Genomic DNA, 18,159 nt, shown 5'->3' with positions numbered 1-18,159 from the left:
GGGGATGGGGTTGTATATGATATAGATGGGGGTAGAGTCATATATGATGGAGATGGGGATGGGGTTGTATATGATATAGATGGGGGTAGAGTCATATATGATGGAAATGGGATGGGGTTGTAGGTGATGGAGATGGGGATGGGGTTGTATGTGATAGAGACAGAGATGGGGTTGTTCATGATGAAGGCAGGGATAGGGTTTTACGTGATGGAGATGGGGATGGGGTTGTACGTGATGGAGGAGGGGAAGGAGGTTGTATGTCATAGACACCAGAATGTGGGTTGTACTGTGAGAGAGGCATAGATAAGGGTTGTGCTGTGGAAAGCAAACAGATGAAAATAAATAGGTTTTGTATTTGTTTAAGCAGGACAATAACCTTACAGTCTGGCTTTGTTGAGAGAGTTTTCTATGTTCCTTTCTTCTTAGATCAGAGAATCTTATCTCTGCACAATCTGAAAGCAAACAGGTGTGAGGGTGTGGACAAGTGGACACAGCCTTCCCTGCTCAGAGCTACTGGGAGGAGGAAGGTGACGGAGACAGAGTCAGGGTGAGAGGGGCACGTAGGTCCTGACTCCACGTTTTGCAATGCCGGGATTGTGGTGGAGCAAGCTAAGGGAAACTGAGAGGACAGGAGAGCTTTGCCTGCTTCCCTTTCAGGACACAGGAACTAGCCACCCTTCCACCTACCCATGCAGGGCAGCTCAGACACTGTCTTCCAGAGGGTGGGGCCAGCAGTACTAGAAAGTGAGCATTCCCTAGAGGACTGCCCAAGGGATTGGACCAGAATAGGCTTAATCAGAAAGAAAATTTTGTTATTTTCCACTCATCTCCCACATCCCTGATTGGGGGCCCATGAGGAAGACAGGATCGGTTTCAGAGACAAAATAAAGGGATTGCATTTACTCAGGCACCTGAGAAGTAAGGTGTGTGAATTTTCAAGCCACCATATGCACAAATATCAGCTCAGTGTATATTTTGCCTTCCTAGCTCAAATCACAACATTGAATTCCAGATGTTTCCTCCTCCTTGGTTCTCCAGGCATTTCCCTACCAACTTCAGCTTCCCAGAAACTTTTCTGTGAATTGTTATTTTTCCTTCCATCTACAAGGGGAAAGTTTGTTTCGATGGATCCATCCAAAGGGGCCCCTGAATTTCTGGTGTAATCTGCACCATAGTCCTCCTCAGTTCACATCTTACCTTTGATTTCCCTCATCTTTAAATGCAACCCTGCTGTTGTACCTTGCAATTTATAGCTCTGTGCCCAGGGTAAACTGGACATCCTCACTTTCAGTGCATGGTGCCTGGCTATAGTCGGTACAGTTATGCTGATGTCTTCTAAGTGGTACATACTTGAAACCTCAATTATTTGTGGTTAAAACAAAAGATGCTTCTCTCTCTCTACTCAAAAGAGAACATAAAGCTTCGGTTTAGATCTAAAAAAGACCCCAACAAACCAGGCACCAAACTATTAGTGATGAATAAGAGATTTAGTTTAGTAGAAGCTACATATTAACCAAAACGCAGGAGCCTGGAGCAATTTTCAGGTAGGAGATCAATGTCTCAACAGAGAGATGCTGAGATCTGACATGAGAAGAGAACCAGACTGAAGAGGCAAAACCTTCCTACATATGTTGGCAAAGGGATGTTGGACAAAGATCAGACTGGATAGATGTTCACTCATTTGACATAATTTCTGAGCATTTACCATGCTCATTGCACCAAGTAGAACAACATTAATGTTGTTGTCCCTCTCAGCGATCTCAATATCCCAGGAAATTTTGTCTCTTTTTTGGAATGAAGCTGTCTCTCAGTCTTAGCAGGTAATCGTTGTTGCCTGCTGCGTCACCTGTGATTGTACTGCCAGAGGGGTTATTTTCTGCCAATCAAGAAACCAAGCCTGGCTGGGCGCGGTGACTCACGCCTGTAATCCCAGCACTTTGGGAGGCCGAGGTGGGTGGATCACTTGAAGTCAGAAGTTCAAGACCTGCCTGGCTAACAGGGCAAAACCCCATCTCTACTAAAAATACAAAAATTAGCTGGCCATGGTGGCACTCGCTTGTAAGTCCAGCTACTTGGGAGGCTGAGGCAGGAGAATCACTTGAACCTGGATGGCAGATGTTGCTATAAGCCGAGATCGCACCACTGTGATATGGACAACATAGTGAGACTCCATCTCAAAGAAAAAAAAAAAACAAAACACAGGAAACCAAACCCGAGGTCCTATCACTATCCTGCTGACTTACTAGAGAAGAGATATAGGATATAAAGAATCCTCAATCCCCAAACCTGCATTTTCTCGCCATTTTTTGGTATGAGCATCTGAGGCAGGTGACTGGCTTAATATTTATGTTTATATTCAGATTTTCCAATAGCCGAATACCATCACTGCTGTACACTTTGAAGCCCACACTGAAGAGGCAAAGTACTAGTGTAGTAATCGTGACAAGTATTTCCTGCTTCTAAAGTTTACAAGAACTTGCTTTATGTAATGTATTATTGTCATTGCAGTGTGGTAATTGCTACTACCTTGGTTTTGCTTTTACTCACAAATTCTAAAAACTATAAAGAGAGATATTGATTTGAAAATACTCTCCTAGAACCTGACTAAGAATTAATTTTTTCCCCTTATCATTTTGTCTGAAATCTGCAGGAAAGTTTCAGTTTGTGGGACGTAAACAATACCATCCCACTCACCCCAGGCTCATGGTCTACATACAGCAGGGATTCATTCTGAGGCTCAACGAGCCCTTAACAGGATATCCATAGGCCCAAGGGGGTCTGAAACCCCCCGGAAATTATGTGCAACATTGTGTGGGTAAAACAAGACTTTCTGGGAAGAAGCCATAACTTTTCTTGGCTCTTCAAAGCAGCCTGTATCTTACAAAGGGCTAACAAGGTTGGAGGCTTAGGCCACTGGTGTTGCATTCTGTGGCTGTGATGATTTTCACTGGCTTGGACTAGGTCTGTAAGCCTCTAGGACTCTGCAGGATGAACCATAGGGTCTATACGCCAACACAGTGCAGTCTACCAAAGACACAAGGCACTTAATGCCTAGAGGAGGGAGAAGGAAAGAGACCAGGGAGGCAGAGGAACTTGGAATCCAGAGAGTGCATGTTCATGGTGAGCCGTTCTCCAGCCCACTGTCTCTTTCCTGCCCCTCTCTGGGGTCCCACTGGCTCAATCTTCAATCGGTCTACCTATGGTGACATGGTGACATGCTGTATCCTTTTCCCTAACAATTCTCATTGTTAATAGAGAAGATTAGATCTAGAAGCCATAGGAGTCCACGGAACCTCTGATTGCAAATGAGGGGTGAAGCTTAGGCCCCATTTACTTGGCAGCAGGTCACAGAACACCAAAGCTGTTGGGAAGCAAGAGGTGTTATCTAACTCTTACTTTACTGTGGAAGAAAGACTCTGAGAGACCTGGTGACTTCTCTACAGCCACTTCCTGTATAGTAGCAGATCCAAGACCAAACCCCAGTTTTCTGAGACTCAAATCATTTTTCCATCACCCTACTCCATTTTTCTCTCATCTCCTGTGTCTTTTTAAGACACAGCAAATAAAAAAGCAAAAAGACAAAACAAAACCAAAAAACCCCCCAGAGACTATTCAGAAATGCCTAGTGGAATTCAAGAGAAATCATGGGGCTTCATAGCACCATCTTTTCTTATGTTTGCATACAGTTGCACTTTATGGAAATTATGGCTCACTCTGTCTCTCTCATTTCCCAGAAATCTCCCATCATCTATGCAGGAAAACACAGATGCATGCAGGAAAAGAAGACAGCCGTTTTTGTGACCCATTTCACATGAGTTTGCCATTACATGGTCCCCGCCTGTGTTGGAATAGTTGGTATATCCCTTCGTTTGCAATGTACAACCCAAAATCCTCAAGTCATAAATTTCTATGCCATTTTACCAACATTAACTGCATTAATGTAAGTAAAGCAGTTAGAACAGTGCCTGCCGTGTGTTAAAAAGGCTGTAGGGATTAGCAATTATTACTACTAATAGTAGCGTTACTACTTAGCTCACCTCACCTGAGATGTACAATAAATTCATATGCTCATGGCTCATGCTCTAGTGCCCTTCCACTCGTACCATGTCACCAGGCAAAGACTCCCACTGAACTCACAGAGCTCCTAGGAAGGGTGTGAACCATGGAAACCCAGGCCTCTCCCAGCAAAAGATCAAATCAGTATTTTACAAACTCTATGACTCTCAAGAAATGAAGACAGAATTGTAACACCAGTTGGCTGAGGATTTCTTGTCCCTTAGGAGGGAATGGAATGAAGAAGAGCTGGTCAGATATAGGGGTGTTTAGGATCTGTTTCAGGACTGGAGGTTTTAGATGAATATCAAGGAAGTTACAGTCCTCCAGTCTATTACGTGTTATCCTAATATTCAAAGCCTTCAAGAGAAGCTTCTTTCTGGGCAATCAGGCAACTCCTAAAAATAAACTCAAGTTCCTGAAATATTCTAGCTTGCCTTTAAGCTTTCTTTGGCTGGGGACCGGGCTATCTATTTTCAGTTTTGCAGCCCCAGGTGGTATGGATTTGATCTATCGAATGACAAATGGCCGAATGACGCTCTGCCTGTTGTGACAGCTCAGCAGATATTTAGGAAAGGTTATCCGTGGGGGAGGCTACAACAGCCCAGAATGGCTGGAGAGAGGGGAAGGTCTCATTTAAAGTTTCCTGGAACCACAAGGGAAAATTGATGATGTGTAGACAACTGTTGAAGGACACAGTGCTATTTCTACTTACCTCATCCAGATAAGAAGGAAAGAACACTAAAAGAACTTTGAAAAAAAAAGAAGTTGGAGAATGAAAATTATGCATGGTAGGGCATGTTGGCACACGGAAGACTGACCAGTTGAAGCTAGGGACCGAGTGGCTTGGCCCTCCTGGCCCCGGGGCTTCTGATTGGCTTTAGAACTGTGGCCTCTCTCCTTTGACAATCAATCTTCTCATATTTCCCATTCTCCCTCCCCCACTCTACTTCAAGTTCACCTTGCCTAAGGCCCTTTGATCCCTTGGCATTTTGACCAGCACCTTGAGCTCCCTTCCAGGGACCACACCCCTTGCTCTACGGGACACTGTCCCCTTCCAGCTAATCCCTACCAGGAGCTGCCCAGAGCCTCCAGAGGGTTCCAAGGTGACCCTCACCTGGCTTCCCCTTCTTCCCTCAGCCATATATTTTTCTCTTCTATCCATTAGGCTGCTGAGAAGCTGCAGTTAACAGAATAGTCAGCTAGCTAATAGTGTGTGTGTGTGTGTGTGTTTTTTTTTTTTTGTAGTTCACAAGAAGTCTGGGGCTAGTGAAAGTCTGTGTGTCATTCCAGTAGCTCGACGATGACTGCAAATCTCCAACTTCCTTCTCTCTTTCTGCTGCACCAGTCATAGTGTGCTGGCTTTTCATTTTCATGCCCCAGGACTGGAAGATGAGAGCTGCAGCACCAGGCATTACATCCTGATTGAAGGAAGAAGGAGGGGATAGGCAAGGTACCCACCATGTCTATACCTTACACAAGGAAAGCAAAGCTTCCCCAGAAGTCCCTTGGTGGGATTCCTTGAACATCTCATTAGGCAGACTGACCCCTTTGCCCCATCTAGCTATGTAAGAGGCTGGGAGAGTGTGTGGTTTTCCAGCCTTCTTAGTTGGAGGTAGCAAGAGACAAGGGGATTGGCGGTACTGTTGAATTAGTCAGCCAACAGTATCTACCACATCTGCCCATTCCAATCAGTAGAGAAGTCCCTTAGACTGCATGGAAATGTTCAAGAAGTATCTTAGAATTGAAACATATGACGTAAGATTACAACCTCTGATTTCTGCACTGCAGGAATTTTATCGTTGAAATGGAAGAGGATGATACAGTGGTGACCTTCCACACTCTGTCCTGGAGCAGCGTTGTTAGTTAAGTTTCATCCACTTGGCTATTAGCACAACTTGTCAAGAATTGTTATCTATGTACATCTTGTTTTCCATGTACATCTTGTCTCTTCAACTGGATTATAAGCTATTTGAGGAGAGGGATCTTATCTCATACAACCTTCTATTGTTAGTGACTCAAATTAGTGTCATGCACTTGGCTGGCATGAAAGACACTCATTAATGATGAAAAGCATAACCTTGAACATCCTGGGGTGCACAAAGAGGAAACACACCTTTCCATTAAATCCATGGCAGACATTCCTAGGAGGCAGAACTTTGGAAAGGCCAATAAGTGAAAATAATATGTTTGTGGAATCAGAGGCATGTTGAATGGGGTTTCAATTGAAAAATGCTATTCAAGCGTTAAGTTTCCAAGCTTAATGCTGCTTTCAAAAAGAGGCTTGGAAACATTACTAAATTTGGTTTACCCTTTCCCCTCCTGTATTCATTCATCTGCTTATTCATTCAGCAAAATTATTTGAGTCCCTATGTGCTAGGCTCTGGAGACTCAGAAATGAATAACTGAGTCCCTACCCTTAGACCTTGTAGGGAAGTAGAGAAATTGAGAGATGGCCATGTTGCACCTAAGAAGGACATTTGCAGTTTCATATCCAAAGTGTTTCAGGAGCTTAGAAGTTCTGGACTTAAATTAGGGGAAGTTCCCAGCCCTTGGTGAGGTGAGGTTTATTCCAACTTACCTGATTAGAAATGCTGGGTTGGAAAGGGCTCTGTAGCCTCACAGACTTGGCTTTAAATCCTGGCTCTGCCTTTGACTGTGGGACCCTGGGGAGACTTCTCATCCCCAAACATCATTGACCTCATGTGTCGGTTTTTAATTCATTCCTCTCAGCTCTGAATTCACCCTTTAATATGTGCCCTGTACTAACGAAATTCCATTATTCTTCTTTAAAGTAAGCACAGTATTACGCTTTCTCAGCAGAAGGCACTGGAAGGACACTGCAGGAGGAAGAGAATTCCTGTCATTTCAGCATTGGTGGAGTTGGAGAGCCTGTGGTCATCCTGCCTCAGCCATGGGCCCCAGAACGTGGTCATCTGCAACCTTGTAGCCTTAGTGTAGTGATACCCTTTCTGCTGCCCTCTCTCTTTGGAACCCAGAGCCCCGCATGGCCCCCAGCTCTTAAAGCCTCCTGCCTGTATCAACGCACAGACTGCCTCCACAAGCTCCTGTGTGGTCTACACATAGCCGCCTGAGGTCTGGTGCACAGAGCACTTGTTCCCTCTGTGACTTAGTCCGTTTTCTTTACTTGTAACAAAATACCTGAAACTGGGAAATTTATAAAGAAAAGAAATGTATTTCTTACAGCTCTGGAGACTGAGAAGTCCCAGGCAGAGGGCCTGCATCTTGTGCAGGCCTTATTGCTGCTGGGGACTCTCTGCAGAGTCCCAAGGCAGAGCAGGGCATCACATGGCGAGGGGGCTAAGCACGCTCTATGCCACCTCAGGTCTCTGTTCCTCTTCTTATGAAGCCTCCAGGTCCCCTCCCTTGATAACGTATCAATCCTTCAGCCCATTAATTCATTAATCCATAAATGGATTAATCCCTCTATGAGGGCAGAGCTCCCATGATTCAATCGCCTCTTAAAGGCCCCACCCATCAGTATTGCCACACTGGGGATTAAGTTTCAATATGAGTTTTGAGTGGACATTCAAACTAGCACTCTGCAAACTCCTGACCCACACCACATGTAGCCCACAAGCTCTGAAGGCTTCAGCCCCTGTGACCACCCATGCCCAGACTCCCCTGCACACCCACGCCACTGCATGCTGACCACCTACTCCTGGCCTGCACTTGGAAGGGAGGTCTATTGCTTTTCTCGGCAATTCCAGGCCAGCTCTGGTCTGGATGCACCAGTGAACTTCTGTGCTATCTGGTGGCCTAACCACACCTTCTCCAAGTAGGTCTAAACCTCTTCCAACTTTGTCCTTCCTTGGTACTTTCCCTTACCTAGAGTACTATAGACAGTTTCCTTATACCTTATAGCACTCTTCTATCACAGTCAATAGTTCTTTATATTGAACTTCTCTTATATAACCTACTGTGTGGTTTCTATGATTGGACCTAGGCTATTCATCTCATCAGTAAAGAAGAGATGATAACATCTTTTTCTCAGATTTATTTTACGGATCAGATGAGAAAACCCTCATAAAGCTCATAGCTCAAGGCTCTGCCTGTCAGAGCTCCCCAACTTCCTCTTTTCCTGAGCTACTGCTGTTTTTTCACAGAGAAGAAGGAAAATTAGTATCAGTGAGTGAGTGCCTTCTGGGCACCAGGCAATATGTCAGGCACTTGACAAGATGGTGCAGACATGCATGTGGTTAGTCTTAGAGGAGGAGACAGAGGGTCAGAGAAGCTAAAGAGGTTACCCGTGGTCATGCATGCTATATCCAATTAAGCTGGGCTACAAACGCTGGTTGCTAGTCCTCCAAGTCCACGCACCACACACTATGTTGGGCTTACTCCTAGAGCCCCAAACACTCCTTTTTTCACTTGAATGAGTACAATTTCCCTACATAAGGAAATTGTGTCAGCACTCACTCGAAGTTTCAGCACTCATTCTATGCTGAGAATAGGTGCACAGCAGAAGAATCATTTGCTAGCATTCTTTTGTAATGACTTAACTAAGAAATCTCCTCCTAAAAGAAAGGTCTGACTCATTGGGAAGGTGTGAGTCTGTGGTTTCCCTTTCTCTGTGAGCTGGCCTCTGGATGAGAACCGAGGAGCCTGCTCTTGAAACTGATGCCGTAAGCAAGTACAAATATGAACTGGGCTGTTAAAGGCTTCACTTCAAAAAAAACCCCATTGGTTAAAATCAAATTTATGGAATTGCTTATCAGCAGCGGGCCAGTTGTACGGTTTGTTGCTTCAACGTAACTTCCACAGGCCAGCAATCTCTGTTATGTTCATTGATGTTTCCCAGCTGCCTAGAACAGTGCCTGGTATAAAGTAGATGGTCACTAAATGTGTGTCAAATGTATGAATTTACACGGTCAAGGATTCAACCAATTTTTTTACATGTGGAGATTCACTAGGGTATTTTGAAGTAGAATTTTAATTTAAAAGTAAGAGGGGCGATATGGTTTGGATCTGTGTCTCTACCAAATCTTGCACTGAGATGTAATCCCCAATGTTGGAGGTGGGGCCCAGTGGGAGGTGATTGGATGATGCGGGTGGTTCCTCATGAATGGCTTAGCGCCATCTCCTGGTACTGGTCTCGTGACAATGAGTGAGTTCTTGTGAGATCTGGTTGTTTAAAAGTGTGCGGCACCTCCCCCTTGCTCGCTCTTGGTCCTGCTCCTGTCGGGCAAGATGTGGGCTTCAGCTTTGCCATCTGCCATGAGTAAAGTTCCCTGAGGCCTCTCCAGAAGCAGTTGCCACCATACTTCCTGTATAGCCGGTGGAACCGTGAGCCAATTACACCTCTTTCATTTATAAATTACCCAGTCTCAGGTATTTATAGCAGTGCAAGAACTGACTAATACAAGAGGAAAGGTGCAAATAAATCTCAATGGAATATGATTATTTTGTAAATCACGGCATGATACTATGATGATCTATTCCAGTGACCAAGCTCATCCTAATGAAAACTTGTCCTGTGTTTAATTCTCTTCAGAGGTCAGTCTCTTCTAGGTACCCGCTTATTACTTTGCTGATGTAATAGTAATCAATCACGGAAGAATAAAGGTACCATCCCAGTAAATATCATAGTAACTTTTTAACTGAAGCCCTTTGGAAAAAATTGCCCAGTGCCTGACAGAGAATTCTGCACATGACAGCTACTCCATAAATGTCTGTTGACACTGATGATACTGTGATAATACCAGGACCTTAAAATAAGGGACTGACATAGGTAGTGGAAATGCAGGCAGGATAGAAAGGCCGGAGAGAGGGGTGGTGGTGCTTTTGATGGGGCAGTCTCTCTATACATTTCACATAATGACCAGGAAGTTCCCCATGTTTTCTGTGCTTAATGACTCAGTCTATTTGTGCTATAGCATATTCTTAAAAGGCTGAACCAAAATACCAAACCAGAAAAGTACTCTTTACATGTGTTACAGATATTGAGGTATAGAGAGGAAAGCATATGCACATCAAACTCTTTTAAAAAAATACCTTATCCCTTATTTCCCAGAAATGATATTTCTTCTTTTTAATAAAGAAGAAAAAGGGATATAGAAAGGGAATAAATATACTTTTCTTTCCGGGAACACCAGGATAACCAGTAGTGCTTAGGGTTCAAAGTCTCTTTTAAAATGGGGTTGTTGCAAAGTCAGGAGCAGATGAAAGTTCAAACCCTTTCAAGTGTAGAGCTTTAATGGGTGAAGTTGGCTACAGCTGTCTCAACTGGTACATGGTTCATTCATTTATTCATTCTCTCAACAAACACTTAGTAAGCATCTACCGCATGCTAATCGCTATAACAGGCCTTCACTAGAACACAGAATGGGAGCTCCTTGTAGATGAGCATTTGCCTGTCTTGTATCCCCATTATCTAAAACACTCCCTAGTACTTTGGAGGCATTCACTAAATATTTGTTGAAAAGATTAAGTAGTCCTAGCCCTCATGGAGTTTATATTAAATTTCTTTCTTGTTTAGTTAGCATTTTTATGCCCATCAAATATGAGTTAAATGAACCTCAAAGTAGCTTTAAAAGAGAAAATGAGAGATGCATGACTGACAGGCTGTAAGCAGCCTGGGGGAAGTGTGGAAAGAGGTGTGATTATGCTGTTGTCCTGCTTCCCACGGGCAGTACATACAGGGATTGACCACAAGGTAGTAAGACTGACTGTCATGTATGATTTATGAGAATCAATCTCATGACATTGGAGCCATAATATGCCCATGAACATTTCAGCTCTGTTTTGTCATACGCTGGGAGACAGACTTCATCCCCACCCCTGAACCCCATCCCGCCAAGGCCAGTCATCTGTTCCCTGCACATCTGAATGTGGCTGTCCAAGGCAGGAGTCCTGGGAGCAAAGACTGAGTTGCTTCAGAAATTAGAAGTAATTTTCTTCTCCTTGGCTGGACATAAGTTTTCTTTGTTTTGAAATAATCAATGAGCTAAAAGTTTCATGAGACAAGGATTTAGTCAAAGAGTTTGCTGCTTCCTTGAACAATATCCAATATCATGGAACGTTCATATAGTACCATGAAAGGCTCAATCCTCAGAATGTGAGGTTTCTTTTTCTCTGCCTTCCTCTCTTCCTCCCTCCCTCCCCCTCTCCCCTTTTCTCAAAAACCTAAGCAGTCCTGAATCTTCTATTTCCTGTAGAGGTGGTCTGCCTGCCACTGGGCATCTATTTTAAAGTCTGGGATACATTCTGGGATGTTTATAAGCTTCTCTAGGAAAGAAATGATTGGCAGTGCTGGTGGCCAATCATAAGTCCATTTATTCATTAGAGGTGGGTTCAAAGGCAGCCTTCTCTCTGTTTTTTAGTAACATTGTTATCTTAGTGCACTTCATGTTGCTATAACAGAATACCTGAGATTGGGTAGTTTATCAAGAAATGAGGCCTATTTGGTTCATGATTCTGGTGGCTAGAAAGTTCAACATTAGGCATCTGCATCTGGTGAGGGCCTCAGTCTGCTTCCAACTCACGATGGGAGGCAGAGGGGAGCTGGCATTTTCAGAGATAGTATGGACAGAGAGGAAGCAGGGTGGGGGTGGGGATGGTGCCAGACTCTTTTTAACAACGAGGAAGTAATAGATTGAGAACTCACTCATTCCCCCCACCCCTGAGGGATGGCATAAATCTATTCGTAAGAGATCCACCCCCATAACCCAAACACTTCCCATTAGGCCCCACCTTCAACCCTGAGGATCAAATTTCAACATGAGGTTTGGAGGGGGCAAATATCCAAACCATAGCAATTATTAACCAGCAAGCTGTTATATTTTGGGGACAAAGATTGCTTATTGCTGTTTTGCAAGTACTGTTTATTTCATTTATTATGATCATGTGAGATTCATCTTTCTGGAAAGATGCGCACAGCTCTTGTTGTGACTTACTTGATCAAAACAGTTAACATTCGATTTATTTCCATCTATTTCCTAAGAGAGAAAGAAATCATTAAATAAATGATGGTTGTCAGGAGGCTTTTTGCTTATAATGATGAATTTGACAAAGGGCCCCCTGGAACACAGAGTTGCTTAAATTTGCAGTTTTCTAGGAAATCTCTAATAGCTAGAGGGAGTTGGGGGATTAATGTTTAGATTTCAATCATTCTTGTCCATTATTACGGTCATTGAGGATTAACACTCTTGGGATTGCAGTTATGCCCTATTGTGGGCTCTCCCATGAACAATTCTACTAATATCACTTTTCATCTTCCTAGGTACAAGTTCAGGAAACAGTCAGAGAGACAATCTCTTGCAGCCAGATGCCAGCTTTCTCAGAGCCTGCTGGGGAGGAGTCCCCATTCACTGGGACCACAACAATTTCCTTCTCAAACTTAGGAGGGGTCCACAAGGAAAATGCATCATTAGCTCAACACTCGGAGGTCAAACCCTGTACCTGTGGTCCACAGCATGAAGAAAAACAAGACAGAGATGGCAACATACCTGACAATTTCAGGGAAGACCTAAAATATGAGCAGAGCATCTCAGAAGCCAATGATGAGACTATGTCCCCAGGTGTGTTCTCAAGGCATCTCCCCAAGGATGCTCGTGCTGACTTCAGGGAGCCTGTGGCTGTCTCTGTTGCTTCCCCTGAACCCACAGATACTGCCCTCACCCTGGAAAATGTGTGTGATGAGCCAAGGGACAGAGAAGCAGTGTGTGCAATGGAGTGTTTTGAGGCTGGTGACCAAGGAACGTGTTTTGATACCATAGATTCTCTTGTTGGGAGACCAGTTGATAAATATTCGCCTCAAGAAATTTGCTCTGTAGATACGGAACTGGCAGAAGGTCAAAACAAAGTATCTGATTTATGTTCTTCTAATGACAAGACACTGGAAGTCTTTTTTCAGACACAAGTGTCTGAGACTTCAGTGTCTACGTGCAAAAGCAGCAAGGACGGCAACTCAGTCATGTCCCCTCTTTTTACCAGTACTTTCACCTTGAACATTTCACACACAGCTAGTGAAGGTGCCACAGGAGAAAATCTAGCCAAGGTGGAGAATTCCACCTACCCACTGGCCTCCACAGTACATGCTGGCCAGGAGCAGCCAAGCCCCAGCAACTCAGGAGGGCTTGATGAAACACAGCTCCTTTCTTCTGAGAACAATCCTTTAGTGCAATTTAAAGAAGGAGGTGACAAGAGCCCCAGTCCTAGTGCCGCAGACACCACAGCCACACCAGCCAGTTATAGTTCAATTGTGAGTTTTCCTTGGGAGAAGCCAACAACATTAACTGCTAATAATGAGTGCTTTCAAGCGACCAGGGAGACTGAGGACACATCAACTGTTACCATTGCCACCGAAGTCCACCCAGCCAAATACCTTGCTGTGTCAATTCCTGAGGACAAGCATGCAGGTGGCACTGAGGAGAGGTTCCCTCGTGCATCCCATGAAAAGGTTTCCCAATTTCCTTCCCAAGTGCAGTTGGATCATATTTTAAGTGGTGCTACCATCAAATCTACAAAAGAGCTACTTTGCAGGGCACCCAGTGTGCCAGGAGTCCCACACCATGTCCTGCAGCTCCCAGAGGGAGAGGGTTTCTGCAGTAATTCCCCTCTTCAGGTTGATAACCTGTCTGGAGATAAGAGCCAGACTGTGGACAGAGCAGACTTTAGGAGCTATGAAGAGAATTTCCAAGAAAGAGGAAGTGAAACAAAGCAGGGGGTCCAGCAGCAGAGCCTGTCCCAGCAGGGTTCTCTTTCTGCACCTGATTTCCAACAAAGTTTGCCTACGACATCTGCTGCACAAGAGGAAAGAAACTTGGTGCCCACGGCCCACTCACCCGCAAGCTCTAGGGAAGGAGCAGGGCAGCGCTCAGGTTGGGGGACGAGGGTCTCCGTGGTGGCTGAAACTGCTGGGGAAGAAGACAGTCAGGCTCTGAGCAACGTTCCATCTCTCTCTGATATCCTTTTGGAAGAGTCTAAAGAATATAGACCTGGAAATTGGGAGGCAGGCAACAAGCTGAAGATTATAACTCTAGAGGCTTCCGCTTCTGAAATCTGGCCACCACGACAACTGACAAATTCTGAGAGCAAGGCATCAGACGGTGGTCTCATAATTCCTGACAAGGTCTGGGCTGTACCTGATAGTCTAAAGGCAGATGCTGTTGTGCCTGAATTGGCCCCCTCTGAAATAGCAGCATTGGCTCACAGTCCAGAGGATGCTGAGTCAGCCCTTGCTGATAGCAGAGAAAGCCATAAAGGCGAAGAGCCCACCATCAGTGTACATTGGAGAAGTCTTTCTTCCCGGGGTTTCAGCCAACCCAGACTCCTGGAGTCATCCGTGGACCCTGTAGATGAAAAGGAGTTATCTGTCACAGATTCACTGTCAGCGGCTTCTGAAACTGGAGGGAAGGAAAATGTTAACAATGTGAGTCAAGACCAGGAGGAAAAACAACTCAAGATGGATCACACTGCCTTCTTTAAAAAGTTTCTGACCTGCCCTAAAATCCTAGAGTCCTCTGTAGATCCCATTGATGAGATAAGTGTGATAGAGTACACCAGGGCTGGAAAACCAGAGCCCTCTGAAACCACACCACAGGGCGCCAGAGAAGGGGGTCAATCAAATGACGGAAACATGGGCCACGAAGCGGAAATCCAGCCGGCCATTTTGCAAGTTCCATGTCTCCAGGGAACCATTCTGAGTGAAAATAGAATCAGCAGAAGCCAAGAAGGCAGTATGAAGCAGGAGGCTGAACAAATTCAACCTGAGGAGGCAAAAACTGCCATTTGGCAAGTCCTGCAACCCAGCGAAGGCGGTGAAAGAATTCCAAGTGGATGTAGCATAGGCCAAATACAAGAAAGCAGTGATGGGAGCTTAGGGGAGGCTGAGCAAAGCAAAAAGGACAAAGCAGAATTGATTTCCCCCACTTCACCTCTTTCTAGTTGTCTTCCAATAATGACTCACGCTTCTCTTGGGGTTGACACGCACAACTCCACAGGCCAAATTCATGACGTCCCTGAAAATGACATAGTTGAGCCCAGAAAGCGTCAGTATGTGTTTCCTGTTTCACAGAAAAGGGGAACTATTGAGAATGAGCGTGGGAAACCTTTGCCCTCTTCTCCTGATCTTACCAGGTTCCCTTGTACTTCATCTCCTGAAGGAAATGTCACAGACTTTTTGATAAGCCACAAAATGGAGGAACCTAAAATAGAGGTGCTTCAAATTGGGGAAACCAAACCCCCAAGCTCATCTAGCTCCTCAGCGAAGACCTTGGCATTTATTTCAGGAGAACGTGAGTTAGAGAAAGCCCCTAAATTACTGCAGGATCCATGTCAAAAGGGCACCCTGGGCTGTGCGAAAAAGTCCAGGGAGAGAGAGAAGTCCCTGGAAGCCCGAGCAGGCAAATCGCCAGGGACCCTCACAGCAGTGACGGGGTCAGAGGAGGTCAAGAGGAAGCCAGAAGCCCCAGGCAGTGGACATTTAGCTGAGGGAGTAAAGAAGAAAATTTTGTCCAGGGTGGCAGCACTGAGGCTGAAACTGGAAGAAAAGGAAAATATCAGAAAGAACTCAGCCTTTCTTAAAAAGATGCCCAAACTCGAAACATCATTATCACACACAGAAGAGAAACAAGACCCAAAAAAGCCATCTTGCAAAAGAGAAGGAAGAGGTGAGGTTCTGTTGCTGTCCATCATTGTTAAAGTTTGGGCTTGTAGACCAGGTATCCAGTTCCTGTGTCCTCGAGGGTCCTTTGCAATTAAGGCCAGTGTCCCCCAGGTGGGCATTGATGCTATGGTTGTGGCCAAGTGGCTTCAGCATGTGGCATCAGAATCACCTGGAGGACTTGTTAAAACCCAGATTGCTCCCCTCCCCCAGTGTGTGAAATTTGCACTTCTAACAAGTTCCCAGGTGATCTATCGGGAGAACCACGATTGAGAACCACTGATAAAGGCCGCCTGTAGGCATGTCTGTTGGAGGGGAATGTGATGAAGGTGCTTTTCCGTTTCATTATCCTCTTTTACAAAATCTATTTAAAAATATAAACAGAAGCATTAATCAGTGTAGCTAATTAGTATAATGAAATAGACCATGCACTAAGCAGGATTTGTGGAAATGAATATTTTGGTACAAATTGGGATTCTCCTCTTTAATCACTGATTTTTCATTAAAAATAACTTCCTTGAACCTTGGTTTTTTCTTCCAAATTTGAGTGTAACATTTCTTTTCAACTCACCCTTCCCATTTATCTAAATCTAAAATCCTCTGAGGTCTCTGTTCTAGGTTTCAGACCACTCAAGCCTCAAAAGTCCTTGATCAACCTCTACCTATGATGCTGTTAAAAAAAAAAAAAAAGTCCTGAAATTGCAGTTAATTCTACTTTGTCTGAGGAATCATTTCAGTCCCAAATTCCATTTATAGACCAAATTTTAGCCTGTTTTATTTCAGAGCTCTTCTTTCTCTCCCCACACACCCTGGTAGAAGTCAGAAGAGAAAATATTGCAGCAAGCTACAGTGGCCTGTGTGCTCTGGAGCGAAAAGCTACGGATGGCTGATCAGAAGGGAAGAATTTTCTCCTCTCTTAACCTGAGTCCTTAGATTTTGAGGCTGGCGTTTGTTATTCCCATCCCATCAAATGGGTCCTAACCCCTGTTGCAGAAAGGTTTAAAGACAAAACTGCCTTCTGAAGAGTTTGGAAGTATCCAATCAGGTTATTAGTATCTATATTTTAAAGCATATTTAAAGAGAATGGCTCGGCATTGTGGCTCACACCTGTAATCCCAGCAATTTGGGAGGCCGAGGTAGGAGGATTGCTTAAGCCCAGGAGTTTGAGACCAGCCTGAGCAACATGGCGAAACCCCATCTCTACGAAAAATACAAAAAATTAGCTGGGTATGGTGGCGCACGTCTGTAGTCCCAGCTACTCTGCGGCTAAGGAGAATCACCTGACCCCAGAAAGTCGAGGCTACAGTGAGCTGTGATCACACCACCACACTCCAGCTGCACTCCAGCCTGGGCAACAGAGCAAGACCCTGTCTCAAAAAAAAAAAAAAAAATTAAATAGAATGAAGCAATGTTTCAAAAGCTCTCAAAATTGGTTTCAGCCCAGAGGCTGAATAGATTGCCTCTGGGGACCAGCCTCAACCCCCTTGTTTGGGGATAGGGGTTCCTTTGCAGGTAAAGGTAGACAAGCAAAACCACCTTTTTGGAATTCTTGCCTGTGACTTTTCAAGTTACCCATGGGTAAGAGGACTGTCCAGATAGGCAGTGTTGAAATCAATCGCCGTCAAAGACTTTGATTTCAGCTGCAGCACAACCTCGCCATTGCACTAAAGGCTGCAAAGACCGAGCATGCCGCCTTCTGGGAGCCACTGGTCTGAGCAAAGCAGGTAGATGCGAGGGCAGCCAGCCTTGTCCTGAGAGGGCCCTGCCGGAGACTACGGGGTAGAGACAACCAAAGACTTTTCCAGGCCAGACCACTGAAGGGTTGTTACTCATGCCACCCACAACACAGAGGCCATTAAGAGGCAAAGATTCAGTTAGAGATACTAGCGGGTGTTTGGGTCCATCTGGGGCAAGTTGTATCATGGTGGTTAGGGTATAGATTAGGAGTTATATTGCTTGGGTTCAAGTCTGGCCTCTGGCAGTACCTGGATAGCCCTGGGCAAATGCCTTAGCCTCTGGGTGCCTCACTTTCCCCACCTGTAAAATGGGGGTGCTAATGATAAGACTCCTCTCAGGTATAAAAATGCAAAGCAATTTGAATGGCACATGGCCTAACACAGCTCTCATGGTTGTTAGTTACTGTTTTTTTAAATTAGTGTTTTTAAATAAAAAATGAGGCAATGCTTATGCTCAGTATGCTTATGAAATAAATAGAGAGCTTAGTTCAGGCAAAAGATCATTGTGTCTGAGTTGATACCAACCTAGCATTAGGAGAAAGAGTGGTGCTGGCATCCACAGCTCCTCCTCTCTGAAAAACTCAGGGCCTCGGCCAGAAGGTAGGAGTCATCTGGTGACGGAGCAGGAGGGGGAGGTTCACCAGAGTTACCCTTGAGTCAGCAGGTAAATGGGAGTCCCAGGCAGGTTTTGCCCATGCCGGGGTAGGTTCTGACCCTGCAGTCCTTTCCCAGCTTCGGAGGAGT

General features: G+C 44.8%; 1 protein-coding gene across 1 annotated transcript in view, besides 9 other annotated features; it reads left to right on the top strand.

The window, feature by feature from the left end:
- ALPK2 (alpha kinase 2) overlaps positions 1–18,159 on the top strand; it is a 147,845-nt gene that overhangs the window by 78,572 nt on the left and 51,114 nt on the right. Inside the window, exon 5 of the mRNA NM_052947.4 lies at positions 12,296–15,686. Coding sequence (NP_443179.3) covers positions 12,296–15,686 — 3,391 coding nt within the window. The remainder of the gene's footprint in view (positions 1–12,295; positions 15,687–18,159) is intronic.
- Positions 5,482–5,561: an enhancer, noted in NCBI's record as "active region_13395". NCBI's record gives its function as "activates an Ori minimal core promoter by ATAC-STARR-seq in GM12878 lymphoblastoid cells {active_cell/tissue: GM12878}" and the evidence as "EXISTENCE:reporter gene assay evidence [ECO:0000049][PMID:35858748]".
- Positions 9,282–9,361: an enhancer, noted in NCBI's record as "active region_13394". NCBI's record gives its function as "activates an Ori minimal core promoter by ATAC-STARR-seq in GM12878 lymphoblastoid cells {active_cell/tissue: GM12878}" and the evidence as "EXISTENCE:reporter gene assay evidence [ECO:0000049][PMID:35858748]".
- Positions 13,961–14,020: an enhancer, noted in NCBI's record as "active region_13393". NCBI's record gives its function as "activates an Ori minimal core promoter by ATAC-STARR-seq in GM12878 lymphoblastoid cells {active_cell/tissue: GM12878}" and the evidence as "EXISTENCE:reporter gene assay evidence [ECO:0000049][PMID:35858748]".
- Positions 13,961–15,178: a biological region, named in NCBI's record as "BRD4-independent group 4 enhancer GRCh37_chr18:56202574-56203773".
- Positions 13,979–15,178: an enhancer, noted in NCBI's record as "BRD4-independent group 4 enhancer chr18:56202574-56203773 (GRCh37/hg19 assembly coordinates)". NCBI's record gives its function as "activates an origin of replication core promoter dependent on BRD2, P300/CBP, MED14 and CDK7 cofactors, and independent of BRD4, by STARR-seq in HCT116 cells {active_cell/tissue: HCT116}" and the evidence as "EXISTENCE:reporter gene assay evidence [ECO:0000049][PMID:35650434]".
- Positions 14,581–14,780: an enhancer, noted in NCBI's record as "active region_13392". NCBI's record gives its function as "activates an Ori minimal core promoter by ATAC-STARR-seq in GM12878 lymphoblastoid cells {active_cell/tissue: GM12878}" and the evidence as "EXISTENCE:reporter gene assay evidence [ECO:0000049][PMID:35858748]".
- Positions 14,841–15,060: an enhancer, noted in NCBI's record as "active region_13391". NCBI's record gives its function as "activates an Ori minimal core promoter by ATAC-STARR-seq in GM12878 lymphoblastoid cells {active_cell/tissue: GM12878}" and the evidence as "EXISTENCE:reporter gene assay evidence [ECO:0000049][PMID:35858748]".
- Positions 15,171–15,220: an enhancer, noted in NCBI's record as "active region_13390". NCBI's record gives its function as "activates an Ori minimal core promoter by ATAC-STARR-seq in GM12878 lymphoblastoid cells {active_cell/tissue: GM12878}" and the evidence as "EXISTENCE:reporter gene assay evidence [ECO:0000049][PMID:35858748]".
- Positions 15,321–15,720: an enhancer, noted in NCBI's record as "active region_13389". NCBI's record gives its function as "activates an Ori minimal core promoter by ATAC-STARR-seq in GM12878 lymphoblastoid cells {active_cell/tissue: GM12878}" and the evidence as "EXISTENCE:reporter gene assay evidence [ECO:0000049][PMID:35858748]".

Source organism: Homo sapiens, chromosome 18 (assembly GCF_000001405.40).
Source record: "Homo sapiens chromosome 18, GRCh38.p14 Primary Assembly".
NCBI lineage: Eukaryota > Metazoa > Chordata > Mammalia > Primates > Hominidae > Homo > Homo sapiens.
Note: the sequence above shows the minus strand (reverse complement) of the source record. Positions and strands in the feature narration are given on the sequence as shown.